Genomic DNA, 18,029 nt, shown 5'->3' on the forward strand with positions numbered 1-18,029 from the left:
CTCTTGTATTTGTAAATAAAATATCCAGTCTTTAGTTATGTGATTTTCTTGCCCTGCCAGTCTCTTGTCTTTGTATAATCTTTTTTGGTATTTAGGAAGGCTTTTATTTTTATTCTAAAGGTTATTATGCAAATATTTTATATAATATCCTTATGTCCTAATAGTTGTGGGGGATGCTATCTTTTGGCTCCCCACTATAATTAACTTTGAAATTCTCCCTTATTTTCCTCTCCCAAAACATCTAATTTGAAGTAATAACTTTTTATTTCCTGAAAATACCTACAGGACAATCAGTAAATATATTCTATTTTACTTGCATTATTTCCCTTCTTGCATTTTCAGAGAAATGTGCTTTAGTTACATTGTCAGACTTATAATCACAGAATATATATTTTATGGTCTCCTTTATCATGTAGCTCTAGTTCTCTTCAGTAAGAAGTTTTGTTCTGTAAAGGAGTTTCAGTTAGTTTGAGAGTTCACAGGGCTAGATCACCCCAGCACTATCCAACCTTTCTGAAGTCTGTAAGGTTGCCTCCAAGTTTTAGCTTCTCTCAAATTGATCTCTAAGAATTCTACCACTAATAGGACCTTTAGAGATGATCAGGATGCTGGCAACCTGATATTTGGATTCTCTGAGCCGTCCCTTGCTGATACCATGCTAGTCTTGATGCTGCTGCTGATTTATTTTACCCACTTGTATTCTGGAGTTCAAAGGTGTTGTATAATAAAGAATTTGACTGGGCTTTGTTGCTGGTTCCTCTAAAGTTCTTGGAACTCACCAATAGGAAAGTGTGTATTATTCATGAGCCCCTTGGATCACTCCTGAATTAATGCTAAGAATATGACTCAGGATGGGGGTAGAAAATGCCACAAAGATCAACTGTGTGATTTGAGCCATATACATGTCTTTGAGCCACATGATTTCAGCCCAACTTCCCAAACTGCAGGGAATAGGGCTGATGATCAAGCTCAACCACATGGCCAATGATTCAATCAACCATGTCTACATAATGAAACCCCAGTAAGAAACCTGAGTCCTGAAGCTTGGTAGAGCCTCTTGGTTGGTGAACATGTAGATGCGTGAGGAGGGTGATGTACCCTCTGTAAGACGGAGTTGTGAAGATGCGGCCGTATAATCTGATTCTTATTTGCTCTTCTCAGAGATCACTGTAGTATTTTGGAAAATTAAATCTACTTTTTGTATATGCAAAGAAGTACAAATCTTTATTAGGTTTGTTCATTCTGTAACAAGTTTTGCTTTTTGAACATTTATTTCTTTGATTTTGCTACTTGCTTTTCGCTCTTCCTCTTCAAGGTTGCAAGTATCCTGTTCCATCAGCTTTAAACTTCCTAGTTTGGAACTGATTTTTTGTTCCGGTTTTTTCTTGGTTTTTCTCTCAAGAAGCTCCTTCTTCTTTTGTCTAAGTTCATTGTCTTTGTGCTCCAGATGTTTGCTTGTTTCACGTAAGACAATCAACCCTGAATCCACTGCTTGCAATTTTCTACTAATTTCCTTTAGCTGTTCTTCTAAGTATCTTCTTTGCTCTAGGTCCACAGTGACAGTGAGAAACTGGGCTACTTTTAGAGATGTGTTAGTAGAAATAACTTTGTTTGACTAAAAAAAAGTTTTCACTACATACTTTTCTTCCGCTGTATAAATTTGTTTTAATCAGGTTTCTTGTATTACCCATTCAGTTCTTTCTCTGGTCTTTCCAGTTCCTACAGGAACTTCATGAATATAATACTGACAGCAAAGGTAACTCATTACAGGATCAGGTGCATCAAATAATTCTCTCAAATAAGGGAAAAATCCGTATTGTTTAAGTTCATTCAAAGGAACTTAAATTTTTATTGTAGGTCAAATTGTGACTTAGCAATCTGCTGTGTCTATGAAAAATTCCTAAAAATAGAATCTTCTGAAAAATAGCAAAAATAAACCATGAAAAAATAAAAAAAAAAACCTGAAGGTTCTGTAAAGTGAACAAGCAGACTTTTGGCAGGGAGACAACAATTGGAGGAAATAATCTACATAAGTTGAGTTTCACTTATTTTCTGTTCCTCTCCTGAGGGCACTAGAATTTGTGGCATGGCACTGGTCAGCTAATGCCTCAATAGAAAAACATTCTCTCTTTTATTCCAGAAAAACTAGGAGAAGGAGCCAGGGCAATCAGAGCCAGCAGAGAATGACATGGGAGGTAAGAAAGGAGAGAGACAAATAATGGAACTCAAAAGTCTGGGCATCAACTTTGCCACTGGCTGACCCAGGAACCTCACAGGCACAGGGTACATCAAAAACTTTCTTAACAGAGATTTCAGCTGCCAGGCTCTGCAGGTAAACAGGTTTCTAGTTTGCGTGGCACCAAGTTAATTGCCTGCTAAAACAAAAACAACCACACATTTCTAAAGGGTAGAGCGGAACCCAGGGCCTCTTCAGCACAATATTTATAATGTCCTGGAAACATTTTAAAACTACTAAACATATGGAGAACTGCAAAAATATGACCCACTGTCAGTGGAAAAGTTAATCACCAGATGGCAACTGCAAAATGTCCCTGATGTTGGGATGATGAGACAAAGACTTTAAAGTAAATATTTTAGCTATGGTCAATGAAGAAATTATGCTCATAGTGAACTGGAAGAATAGTAAATCTCATCAAAATGGAAAAAATATGTAAAAGAACCAAAAAGAATTCTAAAACTGAGAAATATATCCAAGATATCTGCTTAATCAGAGAGTGAATGTGACAAGGGAAAAAAAAAATCAACGAGCTTGGCGATGAATCAATAGGCCCCATTCAATCTGAAATTGTGAGAAAAAAAAAGTGATGAAAAAAATGAAGATGATCCCAGAGAGCTCTGGAACAATTTCAATATAGTATGGGTAATTATATTCTTAGAAAGAAAGGAGAGAGGGAGAAATAAACAGAAAAAAATTGACTGAAAATATTCCTAAATTACTGAAAGGCATAAATTCTACAAGTTCAGCAAATGGCAAATTTGGATAGCTAAGTATGCCTAGGCACACCATAGTCAAGCTATAAGAAAAATTCTTGAAAGCAACCAAAAAAAAAAAAAAAAAACAGAAACAAAAACAAAAAAACAAAAAACTAACAAATTACATATGGGATATGACCATTTGTATAACTGTGGACTTTACATTAGAAATGAAGAAAGCTAGAAAATAGTAAAAATAGATGTTTAAAGTCGTGAGAACAAAGATTGTCAATCTAACATTCTGTATCATCTTAAACCAGGCAAGGCATAGTGGTGCATGCTTGTAGTCCCAGCTACTCGGGAGGTTGGGGCAGGAGCATTGCTTGAGCCAAGGAGTTCGAGCCTGTAGTGTGCAATGATTGTGCCTGTAAGTAGCTGCTGCACTCAAGCCTGGACAACACAGTAAAGACTCCATCTCTTAAAAGAGGTCCTCCTCAAATGAACATTAATTAATAGAAGCATATTAAATTTATTATCTGCGGATTCGCACTGTAAGGTATTCTAAAAATATTTCTTCAGATTGAAAGGAAATGTTATAGTAAAACTTGAATCTTTAAGAATAGAAAAGTCAGGTCGGGCGCGGTGGCTCACGCCTGTAATCCCAGCACTTTGGGAGGCCGAGGTGGGCTGGTCACGAGGTCAGGAGATCAAGACCATCCTGGCTAACACAGTGAAACCCTGTCTCTACTAAACATACAAAAAATTAGCCGGGCGTAGTGGCGGGCGCCTGTAGTCCCAAGTACTCTGGAGGCTGAGGCAGGAGAATGGTGTGAACCCGGGAGGCGGAGCTTGCAGTGAGCCGAGATTGCGCCACTGCACTTCAGCCTGGGCAACAGAGCGAGACTCTGTCTCAAATAATAATAATAATAACAAAATAGAAAAGTCAGAAATTGTGAATATCTGAATAAAGTTTCAGACTATATTATTCCTTTTATTTCATTTAAAATATTTATGAATGTTTAAAAATTCTCACCATTTCGTGGGGTTAATAAGTAGACTGCAAAAAGCTAACCATATATATTGCAATTCATGGAACAATCAAAATAATAAAGCAATTAGTAAAAAATACAATAGATAATTAGAATGATATTCTAAAATAATATTTAAATAATAAAATAAGCAGAAAAGAGTAATAGAAGAAAAGAGAAAGATGGCTGTTTTTTTTTTCTTTTTTTAGACAAGGTCTCACTGTTACCCAAGCAGGAGTACAATGGCACAATTACATCTCACTGCAGCCTTCTCTTCCCTGGGCTCAAGCAATCCTCCCGCCTTATAAATCAAGACAAAGAAGAGGCTTTAAATCTAACATAATCAAAAGAAAGAAAATAGTAAAGATCATTAGACAGCCTAAGAAAAAAAAGATAGGTGACCCAAATAAGTAAAATCAGAGATGAAAAAGGAGACATTACAACTCTTACCACAGGAATTTATGGAATAATTAGAGGCTACTATGAGGAACTATAAACCAATAAACTAAAAACCTAGAAGAAATGAATAAATTCCTAGATACATACAACCTACCAAGAATGAACCATGAGGAAATATAAAACCTGAACAGACCAATAAAAAGTAATGAGATTAAAGCCATAATAAAAAGTAACCCAGCAAAGAACAGCCTGGGAACTGATGGCTCCACAGATTAATTCTACCAAACATTTAAAGAAAAATTCATATTAATCCTACTTAAATCTTCCAAAAAATGGAGTAGAAGGGAATACTTCCAAACTTATTCTATGAGGCCAGTATTACCATGATACCAAAAGAAGACAAACATCAAAAAAAGAAAACTACAGATCAATATCCCTATGAGCATTGAGGTAAAAATCCTCAACAAAATACTAGCAAAATGAATTCAACAAAACATTAAAAAGAACATTCAACATGGCCAAGTTGAATTTATCCAAGGAATGCAAAGATGCTTAAACGTATGCAAATTAGTCAGTGTGACGCATTATATCAACAAAATAAAGGACAAAAACCATGTGATCATTTTAATTGATGCTGAAAAGGCATTTGATAAAATTCAGCATCCCTTCATGATAAAATCCCTCAAAAAACTTAATACAGAAAGAACATAGCTCAACACAATAAAAACCATAAATGACAAAACCACAACTAGTATCATACTGAATGGGAAAAACTGAAAACATTTTCTCTCAGATCTGGTACATGAAAAAGGAGCCCACTTTCACCACTGTTTTTCACCATAGTACTGGAAGCCAGAGCCATCAGACAACAGAAGGAAAGAGTATCTAAACTGGAAAGGAAGAAGTCAAACTATGCTTGTTTGCAGATTATGTGATCTGAAGTTTACCAAAAAAAAAAAAAAAAAAAAAAAGAAAGAAAGACTCCCTAAAAAACTATTAGAACTGTTAAACAAATTCAGTAAAGTTGCAAGATACAAAATAAACATACAAAAATCAGCAGCATTTCTATACAGCAAATAACTTCTAAAAGAAAATAATCCCTTTTACAATAGCTACAAATAAAAAGAAAGTACCTGGGAATTAACCAAAGAAGTGAAAGATCTCTACAATGAAAACTATAAAACACTGATGAAAGAAATTGAAGGGAAGACAAATAAATGAAAAGATATTCCATGTTCATGAATTGAAAGAATCAATATTGTTAAAATGTCTATACTACTTAAAACAATCTAATAAGAAATTAATTTCTTATTTCTTATTAAATTAATTCTTAATTAATTATTAAAATTAATTAATTTCTTATTAAATTAATTTCTTATTAAAATACCAATGACATTCTTAACAGAAATACTAAAAATTACTAAAATTTATGTGGAACCACAAAAGATCCAGCATGACCAAGCTATTCTAAGCAAAAAGATCAAAACTGAAGGAATCACATTACCTGACTTCAAATTATACTTCAAAGCCTTAGTAAGCAAACCAGTATGATACTGCATAAACCTGGATACATAGACTAGTGAAACTGACTAAAGGACCCAGAATGAAATTTCTATATCTACAGTGAATTCATTTTCAACAAAATTGCCAAGAACATACATTGGGGAAAGGACAGCTTGTAGGGTCCACCCTTACGTGGCTTAGTGGGTGTTCTCCCTCTGTGCGGAGACAAGAGATTGTAAGAAATAAAGACACAAGACAAAGAGATAAAGAGAAAACAGCTGGGCCCGGGGTACTACTACCACCAAGACACAGAGACCTGTAGCCCCAAACGGCTGGGTGCGCTGATATTTACTGCATACAAGACAAGGGGGCAGGGTAAGGAGGGTGACTTTTCTAAGTGATTGAAAAGGTGAAACAAGTCACGTGATCAAAGGACGGGGGCCCTTCCCTTTTAGATAGCCAAAGCAGAGAGAGAGAAGGCAGCATACGTCAGCGTTTTCTTCTATGCACTTATAAGAAAGATAAAAAACTTTAAGACTTTCAGTATTCCTTCTATCGCTATGTACTACGAACTTCAAAGAGGAACCAGGAGTACGGGAGGAACATGAAAGTGGACAAGGAACACGACCATTGAAGCACAGCACCACAGGGAGGGGTTTAGGCCTGTTGATGACTGCGGGCAGGCCTGGATAATATCTAGCCTTCCACAAGAAGCTGGTAGCAGAGTGTTCCCTGACTCCTCCAAGGAAAGGAGAGTGCCTTTTGCGGTCTGCTAAGTAACGGGTGTCTTCCCAGACACTGGCGTTACTGCTTGACCAAGGAGCCCTCAAGCGGCCCTTATGCGGGCGTGATGGAAGGCTCAGCTCTTGCCTTCTAGGTCACTTCTCACAATGTCCCTTCAGCAAATGACCCTATACCCGCCGGTTATTCCTAGGTTATATTAGTAATGCAACAAAGACCAATATTAAAAGCTAATGATTAATAATGTTTATCATAATGATTGATAATTGTCCATGTTCATCTCTATATCTAATTTGTATTATGACTATTCTTATTCTAATTATTTTCTTTATTATACTGAAACAGTTCGTGCCTTCAGTCTCTTGCTTCTGCACCTAGGTAATCCTCCGCCCACAAAAGGCCTCTTCAATAAATAGTGCTGGGAAAATTAGATATCTACATGCAAAAGAATGAAACTAGATCCCTCTTTGTACATACACAAAAAGGAAATCAAAATAGATTAAAGATGTAAATCTAAGATCTCAAATTATGAAATTACTAAAATAAAGCATTGAGGAAACCGTCCAGGACGTTGGACTGGGCGAAGGTTTCTTGAGTACTACCCCATAAGCACAGGCAACTAAAGCAAAAATGAACAAATGGAATCACAGCAAGTTAAAGAAAACTTCTGCACAGCACAGGAAACAATCAGCAAAGTGACAGGAAAATCTGCAAAATGGGAGAAAATATTTGAAAACTATCCATCTGATGAGGGATTAATAACCAGAATATATAAGGAAGTCAAACAACTCTATAGGAAGAAAAATCGAATAATCCAAATAAAAAAGGGCAAAAATTTAAATAGACGTGTCTCAAAAGACATACAAATGGCAAACAGGTATATGAAAAGGTGCTCAACATCACTGTTCAGCAGAGAAATGCAAATCAAAACTACAATGAGAGATCATCTCACCCCAGTTAAAATGCCTTTTGTACAAGACAGGCAGTAGCAAATGCTGGTGAGGATGTGGAGGAAAGGGAAACCTTGTACACTACTGGTAGGGATGTAAATTAGTACAACCACTATGGAGAGCACTTTAGAGGTTCCTCAAAAAACTATAAATAGACCTACCATATGATCCATCAATTCCACTCCTAAGTATATACCTTAAATAAAGGAAATCAGTATATCAAAGACATATCTTCACTCCGATGTTTATGGCAGCACCATTCACAGTAGCCAAACTTGGAAGCAAACTAAGTGTCCATCGACAGATGAATGGATAAAGAAAATGTGGTACATACACACAACAGAGTGTTACTCAGCCATAAAATGAATAAGATCCAGTCATTTGCAACAACATGGATGGAGAAGTTATTATGTTAAGTAAAATAAGCCAGGCACAGAAAGACCAACTTCATATGTTTTCACTTATTTGTAGGAGGTAAAAATTAAAACAATTGAGCTCATGGAGATAGAATAGAACAACATTTACCTGAATCTGGGGAGTGTAGTGGTGTTGGGAGGGAGAGTGGCTAACGGGTAAAAAAATATAGTTAGGAGCCGGGTGCAGTGGTTCATGCCTGTAATCCCAGCAGTTCGGAAGGCCGAGGCCGCTGGATTACCTGAGGTCAGGAGTTTGAGACCAGCCTAGCCAACATGGTGAAACCCCATCTCTACTAAAAATACAAAAATTAGCTGGTGTGGTGGCGGGTGCCTGTAATCCCAGCTACTCGGGAGAGTGAGGCAAGAGAGTCGTTTGAACCCAGGAAGCAGATATTGCAGTGAGCCAAGATCATGCCATTGCACTCCAGTCTGGGTGATGAGAGTGAAACTCCGTCTCAAAAAAAAAAAAAAAAAAAAAAAAAAAAATATATATATATATATATATATATATATATATGGTGTATTGTTGGATTCAATTTGCCAAATTTCTTGAAATATTTTCATCTGTGTTCATGAGACATACTGTTCTGTAGTTTTATTTCATGTCTTTAGTTTTGATATCTCAGTGACATTGTCCTTACTATATATATAGTTATATATATATAAAACTTTTGAAGAACCTACAGCAAACATCACACTTAATGTTAAAATATTAAGTTTTCTTCTTAATATTGGGAGCAAAGCAAAAATGTCCATTCTGACCATTTCTATTAAACATTGAATTGGAGATTCTAGCAAGTCAAATAAGGCAAAAATAATTATATAGTAACATAGATGGATATATATATCTATCTATATATGTAACTATATATAGTTACTATAAATATATAGTTATAGTTACATACATAGATATATATATCCATCTATGTTACTATTTATAGTTGTATATATAGTTTATATATGGTATAAACTATATATAGTTTATACTGTACAAACATCTGTACATCTGTACAAACATACAAAATTCAGCAAACAATCTGTATGTGTATATATATATATATATATGGTTATATAGTTAGGAACAATGAATAAGAATGAAGAAGATCTGGTATTCAATAGCACAGCAGGGTGACTACAGTCAACAATAACTCATTGTACATTTAAAAATAGCTAGAAGTGTAAAATTGGCTCCTTTTGTAACAAAAGGAAAGGATAAATGCTCAAGATGATGGATCCTCCATTTCCCTTGATGGATTACTATGCATTGTATGCCTATGTCACAGAATCTCTTGTGCCCCACAAATATATGCGCCTACTATATGCCCACGAAAATAAAAATTTAAAATTTAAAAATTTAAACAGAGATACTAAAGACCAGACTTAAGTTTAAAAACAAAACAATAAAATGTACCTATGAAACAAAAACCTGGTTCTTTGAGTAAATTAATTAAATCGATAAACTTCTAGTCAGACCAAAAAAAGAGAAAAAAAAACAATAATGGGAGTGATGAGGTTGACATCATTAGAGATCAAATAGATATTTGATGGATATTAAAATAATATTGTGAACAACATTATGCTAAAAAATTTGAACACGTGAAAAGCAAATATAATTTTCTTGAAAAACGTAAACTATTAAACTCACTTGGGAAGGAATAGACCAACTTGATTGCCCCTTGTCTATTAAAATAATTAAAATTTGCTTTTACATTTCTTCCAACAAAGAAACTTACAAGTGTAATTGTTTTTTACTATAATTCTATCAAAAAAATTAAGGATAAGTGCCGGGATTGCGCCACTGCACTCCAGCCTGGGCGACAGCGAGACTCCGTCTCAAAAAAAAAAAAAAAAAAAAAAAAAAAATTAAGGATAAGTATCACCAGTTATTCACAGCGTCTTTCAGAATAAGAACTATATTCCAACTCACTCTGTGAGGACACAGTCACTGTGATATCAAAAGTAAAGACATGAAATAAAACTACAGAACAGTATGTCTCATGAACACAGATGAAAATATTTTAAGAAATTTGGCAAATTGAATCCAACAATACACAAAAAATGAATGCACTATGACCCAGTGGGCTCTATTGCCAGAAGGTAAAGTTGATTTCACGTTCTTAAATGAAACAATGAAATTTACCACTTTAAATAATTAAAAATTAAAAGTTGAGAAAAGATATGATCATCTCTTCAGCCACAGAAACATCCTTGACAACGTTCTACACCAACTTCTGATAATAAATCCTAAACAAAGTAGGAATATTATTAAACTTTCTTAACCTGGCAAAGATCTTTTGAAGAACCTACAGCAAACATCACACTTAATGTTGAAATATTAACTTTTCCCCTTAATATTGGGAGCACAGCAAAAATGTCCATTCTCACCATTTCTATTAAACATCGAATTGGAGATTCCAGCAAGTCAAATAAGGCAAAAATAATTATATAGTAACATAGATGGATGATAGATGAATAGATAGAAAGATAGATAATCAAGCAAATAAATAACATATAAATGAGAAAGGAAGATGTAAAACTATCTTTCTTTGTAAGCGGCGTGAAAAGTTGGCATTTTTTGGCTTGTGGATGGTCTTTTCTCTGTGTCTTCACGTTGTCTTCCTTCTAAATCTTACCCCTTTCTATAAGGACACCAGTCATATTGGATTAGAGCTCACTTTACACCAGTATGGCCCTCATTTTAACTTAACTAATTAAATTCACAATGACCCTATTTCCAAATAAGTTCACATTCCAAAATACTGGGGATTAGGAATCCAACATATGAATTTTTGAAAGACATAATTCAACCAATATCATACCTCTAAAACCAGAAACAACCTAAATATATATCAACAGGAAAATGGACAATTTTGCTGTGTTTATATCATGGGATACAATTTAGCAATAAAAAACAGTGACCAACAATTGATACTTGTAAAATAACAGATTCATTTCAAAATAAGTACGTAAAGTGAGAGAAGCCAGGCCAAAAAAAATACATACTTTATGATTACATATATATAAATTCCTAGAAAATGCAAATTAATATATAGTGACAGAAAGAGGATTAATGTTTACCTGCAGATGGGGAGGGAGGTTTGTAGGAATGCAAAGGGGACCTAGGGGCAGAGATTACAAATGAGCATGAGAAAACATTTATCATCTTGATTGTCAGGTTGATTTCACAGATATATGCACATATGAATTCTTGTGTTATGCAATTTAAATACATGCAGATTTTACTATATAAATTCTACCTCAATAAAGATCTTTTTTAAATACAAATATTTTTAATAAAGCACCCACTTTTCAATAGGAGTTTAAAAATGGACTCAATAATACAAAATCCTGTAACTCAAAAATAAACTGTTTCTAGTTAAAACAAGAAAAAAATTAACACCGATTACTGAGATTGCCAAATGGTAGTCAAAAAAAATAGTTTTGATATGTTGAGTAACAAAAACTTGAAATATAGAATTTTATCAAAATATATATCATAGAATCATAAAGACAGAGATTACTCTTGTCTCCAGATAATCTAAGGGAAATGAACAAGTTACTAATTGTCTTCTATTAAATCAAAAATATTTACTGCCAATTAAAATCCACGATAAATTTTATAAATACCAGAAGTCAAGTATTAAAAAAAAGCCATTCTGACTGTTCATCCAACCTAAAACAAAAATGCAAACATAAAATTACTTATTTTTTAATCAAAATATTTGCTACAATGTTGGTCACCTTCACAGTCTTCCAGGCCTGGTCACTGTGTTAAAATGATAAGAGAGTAAAAAGACATTTAACATAGAATACATGTTTTCTTTTGGACAGTACCATTTTTCAAGGGCAGTTCGTAATCTATCTGGATCAGACATTTAACAGACAAAATCCTAGTTACCAAAGTTACTTTAACCATATGTGTTTTATAGATTGAGACATAAATATGGATGGGCTTTCAGAGATAACCTGTTCTAAATTCATATTAAGAGAGACAGACAAATTGCCAGCTGGAAATATTAAATGGCTTTCCTAGTGTCATACAGACATTTGTTAGTATAGCCAGGGTTAAATCTGCTACCTCTTAATTTATCCTAGAATAGCTTTCTCCATAAGCTATCATGCTGCAATTTAAACATATTATATATAGGGTAATATTAAGATTTGTTAGAGGAGAGTGACAAATACAGGCTCCCCTATACTTTACTGCTCTGCTAGAGTCCCTACAGAATGCATTAATTAAAGTTAAGAAGATATTAAGTCAGCATCTTTGACATTGAATTCATGTTGCCTATTGTGAATGACTAAATAAATAGACATTTTCATAGATATTTTTGAATGCAAATGGTTAAATTCTACAACATGAGAATGAAGGCTGAGGACCTAATGCCAGAGATTGTAAACACTGATAAATAAGCTATGGCTCCTGCCTTTGTGAACACGATACTAACAGAAAGGGTTTGTGTTACATAAATATTAACTCTATTATACATTTATTATATTCTAGCCATGAGATCCAATGCTTTGATGAAATGGCATTGAAAAAAACTGTGAGAGACTTCAGCATCCAATGTAATTAACACTGCTAAACAGAGTTAATGAAGGTGTGAGCATTATTACATTCTTAATGAAAAATATCTGTAAGTGTAGTGAGTAAACTTATGGTATATGTTATTATCCAATGTCAGAATCTGGGGAAAATTTACCTAATTAAAGTAGCTACTCTTGTTCCAGAGAATAGAATAGAGACATGCTTTTGAAAATAAGCGAAGCTGTTAGTAAGTCTTCCTTAATTTTTAACTCATGAAATAGAAAATTAATTGGCATTGTGACAATTTTAAATTTTTTTTGGTCAAGGCTATAAAAATTACTTTATACTAAAACTCACTATGTCTTCTGTGGGGTAAGAGTGCCTTAGAGAGCAATTTGCAAAGTGTTTAAAAAATGCATACCACCTTGGAGCATTAAAAATCATTATACTAAATGCAATCACATACTTCTTAATGTGTGTATCCATTCAATTCTAATTATATTAGTTCTCTATTCCTGCCATAACAAATTATCACACTCTGTGATGTTTGAAACAACGTAAAGTTATTATCTCACAATTTTGTAAGTTTCTATTCATGTCACTGAAGTTCTATTAGGCTGGGCTGATTTTTCTACTCAGAGCCTCAAAACGTTGAAACCAAGGTTTCAGTGAGCCCTGGGAAAGAATCTGCTCATTATGGTAGTGGCAGAATTCAGCGTCATGGAGTGATAGAGCTAAAGTTCCTGTGTCCTTGCTGGCTATAAGCTAGAGGTCGTTCTAAGTTTTCTCTAAAGGCCTCCTGTATATCCTGGCTCATGGACCCCTTAATCAGCCTTCAAGGCCAGCAGCAGCAGATCGAGTTGCTGTGTTTTCATCTCTGTGGTCTGCCCTTCTGCCGCCCCTCTCTGACTCCTCTTTCTGCCATTTCTGACTCGAACAGGATAACGTGCTCTGATTTTAAGGGCTGTTGTGGTCCGGTTGAATCTGCTGGAAAATATCCAGCATAATGTCTCCATTTTAAGATATATAACCTTAAAAACATTTGCAGTGTCTTTTGCCATATCACCAACATATTCATAGGTCCCAGGGTTTAGGACATCTTTACGATAGGGAGGATTCGGCACACCTCGTATGTGTTTAAAGGGAGTACATACTTTTTGGTAACTTTGCCAAAGACAGCCTACCCCCATCCACCAAGGAACTTCATTTCAAATCATTATTAAGTAGTTTATGTGAAAAACATAAAAGAAGCAGCCTGTGAAATATTTACTTATATATGATACATGAGGGCACATGACTAGTTTTGTTTTATTTGTATCAGACTATACTCTATGCATGTCATTGTCTATCAGTCCTTATACACATTTTTTCGCCAGCACATATTTTATCTTTCTGTTTATATTACACATGAATTATTTCTAGAGTGATAATGCATTTACAAATGTAATATGTTACCTGACACAGAATAGTTGCTCAATAATTATTGTTTCCCTTCCTTTGTTCATGCTCATTAACTTATTTGATGTTCCTTCTGTCCTTGTTCCTAAATAGTTACCAAAAACTTACAGAAGGCTTACTTCCTCATCTAAACTTTGCAGAAATATTCCACCTCACAATTGCTCTTCCCTGACATATTACATCATTTCACACTACAAGGTAATAAAAGAATATACTCTGCCTTGTATTAATTGATACATTTCTATGCGTGTTACTTTTGCTCTGTTAGCAATGATAGGAGAAGGCCTTTCAAAATGCAAAACTGTACTCTCACCAGTGTGGTTCTGAGCACATAGCAGCTGTTCAATAAAACTGTGGACTGAAGCCAATTATTACTTCTACGGGAATATATTTTCGAGTTAGGGAGACAGGTAAGAGATTAAAGAGATGTTTTTATATTAGATGAGGAACATGTTATTATCTGATTCACACTGAAGCCTAGGAAGTCAAGGAAAATAATAAAGTAGCTACCAGTTTTCTTGTTTTTCAGTGGGCTTATTATTAACTATATGGGGTTATTTTCAGTGGGGTTATTATTAACTGTGTTAATAATAAAACTTTGATCACAGACAACACAGGTTCATAATACCTTATCTGAAATTCCAAAGCCACATGAGTTCTTAAAATCAAGTGTTTCCAAAGCTCATATGCCAATAATACCTAACTTGAAAAAATTAAGCCAAATAAGAAAATAATGCGAGTTTTTAAAGTAGTTTCCCTTTATGCCATTTAGTATGATTATTAACACATTTTTGGCAGAGATTTTAACGTGGTTGTTGCAGATGCTGCCTCAAAAACCTGTTAGGACATATTGTATTTGCAATGCAATACTTTTCTGAGAAAAAAGAAAAAGAAAAGTGTGAATTCTGAAACAAATTTAAGTCAAAAGTTTTGGTTGGAAATGGCAAAATCTTACCTCTGTAAAGCAATAAGGTCACTCTAGCACAAAATAATGAAGAAATACCTTCTTGTAGGTGAATTATAAATATAAAAATATGTTTTAAGACTCGACAATTAGATTCTTAGTGTAGTATTTATATATTGTCTAGGTAGTTTCTTATGGAAAGGTCTATTAGAGGAAGTGGGAGACTTTCTCAATGATAACAGATTTTTACAGGTCAAATTTTTCAAACAGGTATTGAATCCACTATATTTCCTTGAGAACTTATGCCTCTGATCATACTAATGAAGCTTAGTTGTGTATTTATTGTTGGCACACGTCTAAAATTTAAAAATAAATATGATAATTAAGATGCTGTATAAACTGTAATCACTAAATTTTCTGTTTACATCACTCAATTAATTATCAACTGTATAAATGTATAAATACTCACATTAAGTATTCTTCATTCTGTGGCAGAATTTCCTATGTAATTATAAGACTAATAATGATGAATTTGTTGAAAAACCATAATTGAATAGTACAACTAGAAAACATCTGGCTCTAGAAGCTTATGCAAAATATAGTTTTACTGTGAACAAATAAATGGTATTAGCTTTTATCTTTTATTTCACAACACAGCCTTAATTTTTTAAAACTATATTTTGAAATTTTGAAAGCGTTTTCTTATCTTCTGTGGGGCAGTGGTCCATTCAACACTGGAGAATGTGAAAACTATAGCAAATGTACTGCCGGCTGTATAATATAATTCATCTTTGTAGAATGAATGCCTCATTGGAAGAACCAATAGTACATCTCTACTACAGAAATCTCCAGTGGAGGCAAAGGGGTATGCAAATTACTTTATTCAAAATTTCTATCTAAATATGTTTACCCTTTATGTCAGAATTCCTAGCATTGGGTAAAGAAATCGAAGTTAGCAAGTGAGAAAAGTGAGGACTAGATCAATTGTGTTATTATCTGTCCAAAATGAACGTAATCTCTACTTTAGTGATGCTAGAAGACAGGAAAGAACAATGTACTGAAAAATGCCAAAGCATGAACATAAAATACCTTATTCACATTTATGGAATTTGGAAGTAAAATTATGTTTATTTTATTTTGCATAAAAGGATTTTATGATTACAAACGGGGAGTTTCCTTTTGGAATTCATAGGGGAAAAATCCATTCTGTTTGAGTAACAATGAGAACTAAAACTTCTTGCTGGCTTGCTTCGCACACCCCACCAACCCCATCAAATTAGTAATTAATCAAAATGTATTGGTTTGGACCAAATTAAAAATAGCTCAAAGTAATAAACATTTTGGCAGTTTAATTTTATTATTATTTAATTTAGCTTTTTTATTTTGATCATTTATTTTTTTAGAGACAGAATCTTGCTCTGTTACCCAGGCAGGAGTGCAGTGGAACTGTCATAGCTCACTGTAACCTTGAAGTCCTGGGCTCAAGCTACCCTACCTGCCTCAGCCTCCAGGAGCAGGAACTATTATGTCTTTTACTTTATACATGAATAAACTGAGGGAAATGCAGAAGTATTGGAGTTGAACTGTTTGGCCACAGGAGGTGTAATCTTAACCACTAAGCTATACAGGCTATTCTCTGCCCAGAATCATGCCTGTGGATTCTGCCTGCACGTCAGAACATGCAAAGGGAGACACAGTTCTGATATGTTATTAGAGAACTATGTAAAGTGAAGACTGCCTCTATTGCTGAGGGAAAACAAAGATGCACAATTTCAATGTGATTTTATGTGGTTAGTAATCTGTAACATTTATTATCTTGTTGTATATTATCCGGGGAAGTATTTGATTGTAATAAATGTCTTGCAACTTCCATGTCTAGCAAGAATATATTGGCTCATTTTCATTACCCATCAAAATGGATTAGATGTCTTTAAAGTTATCTAAAGCTTAGTAATTTATAATTAAAGTTTTCCTTATATAATTTTCAATGTATTTGTGTAATAGCATTTGCATAGATTATACTCAGTTGGACAATATTATCTATAGTTAAAAAGATGGAGATTTTTGAAGAGTTAGTTGTAAGAGAAAAATAATTGTATGTTAGACCAGTTTATTCTCGTCAGATATTAAAATTAGCCATGTAGGGCAGGTAGAGGTCAGATGTATTTTCTTTTGATTAAATAAAATGCTGAAACTAGGTATTAATAAACAGACAAACTAGCATGCTTTAAGCAACTCAGGCAAAATCCTTACGACTGAAGGCATTGGGGTTTAGAAAGATCAAAGAGTTCTTTCATGGTATATTATTAGTAGGTAGCAGTGCTGAGATTTGAATCCAAATCTGTCCCTACAGTTCCAGCGGATCAAACTGCTTTATCCAAGCCACAGGCATTGGCTTGTTTGTGGATTATACTTTTCTAAATTTACTTTGCTGAGGTTACATAAATCTGTTGGATTTATCTGTAGTATATGTTGGCTATTTAATGTGGAGGGCATATTCTAGAGCTAATTGGGCAGAAGTTAACAAGATGCTGCTTGCTTTACTTTGCAAATACTGGGAGGAAGAACAAGTTGTTGCCATTTCAGCTATAAAATCTCTTCACTCTTCAACCGTATTTCCAAGAGCTTCAATCTCTTTCATCACATATTAAGTCCAGCCACACAATGCAAAATGCAAATTAGAAAGACATTGATTATACACCGAAATAAACTTTGAGATCATATTACACACTTTTTAACACTTATTTCCTGGTATCTGTGCAATTTCACAAACATTTCTTGAGCTCACCAACAATATGTGAGATTCTAAGCTAGGAATTGATAATATAACAAGAAAGAAAGCAGACAAGATAACTGTCCCCATGAAGCTCACCTTTACACAGAGGTAAATCAATTAATAAATAAGTAAACAAGTCTATGTAGAATACATCAAAGTGAGAGAGTGCTGTGTAGAAGAACAAATCAAGGTTAGGGAAAACAAAAGTGTTGGAGGAGGGAGGCTCATTCTGATATTTATTTAGAGTTTTCAAGAAAGGCCCCTATAATCAAGTAACATTTGAGCAAACATGTGAGTAAGAAGAACATTTCCAGAAAAAAATGAGCTGAAATTATAAAGGTTTGGAAGCAGTAAAAAGCATGGTTTGATCAAGAAACAGGAAGGGGTTGCTC

At 34.2% G+C, this 18,029-nt stretch overlaps 1 pseudogene, besides 1 other annotated feature; it reads right to left on the reverse strand.

Annotated features, from left to right (window-relative positions):
* LOC100421160 (structural maintenance of chromosomes 5 pseudogene) lies at positions 1,100-1,855 on the reverse strand (annotated as a pseudogene).
* Positions 12,253-12,422: an enhancer, noted in NCBI's record as "experimental_101653 CRE fragment used in MPRA reporter constructs". NCBI's record gives its function as "activates a minimal promoter by MPRAs in K562 erythroleukemia cells, with activity observed for both the introgressed and non-introgressed 8:13891431 variant alleles {active_cell/tissue: K562}" and the evidence as "EXISTENCE:reporter gene assay evidence [ECO:0000049][PMID:34662402]".

Source organism: Homo sapiens, chromosome 8, assembly GCF_000001405.40.
Source record: "Homo sapiens chromosome 8, GRCh38.p14 Primary Assembly".
Classification (NCBI taxonomy): Eukaryota; Metazoa; Chordata; class Mammalia; order Primates; family Hominidae; genus Homo; species Homo sapiens.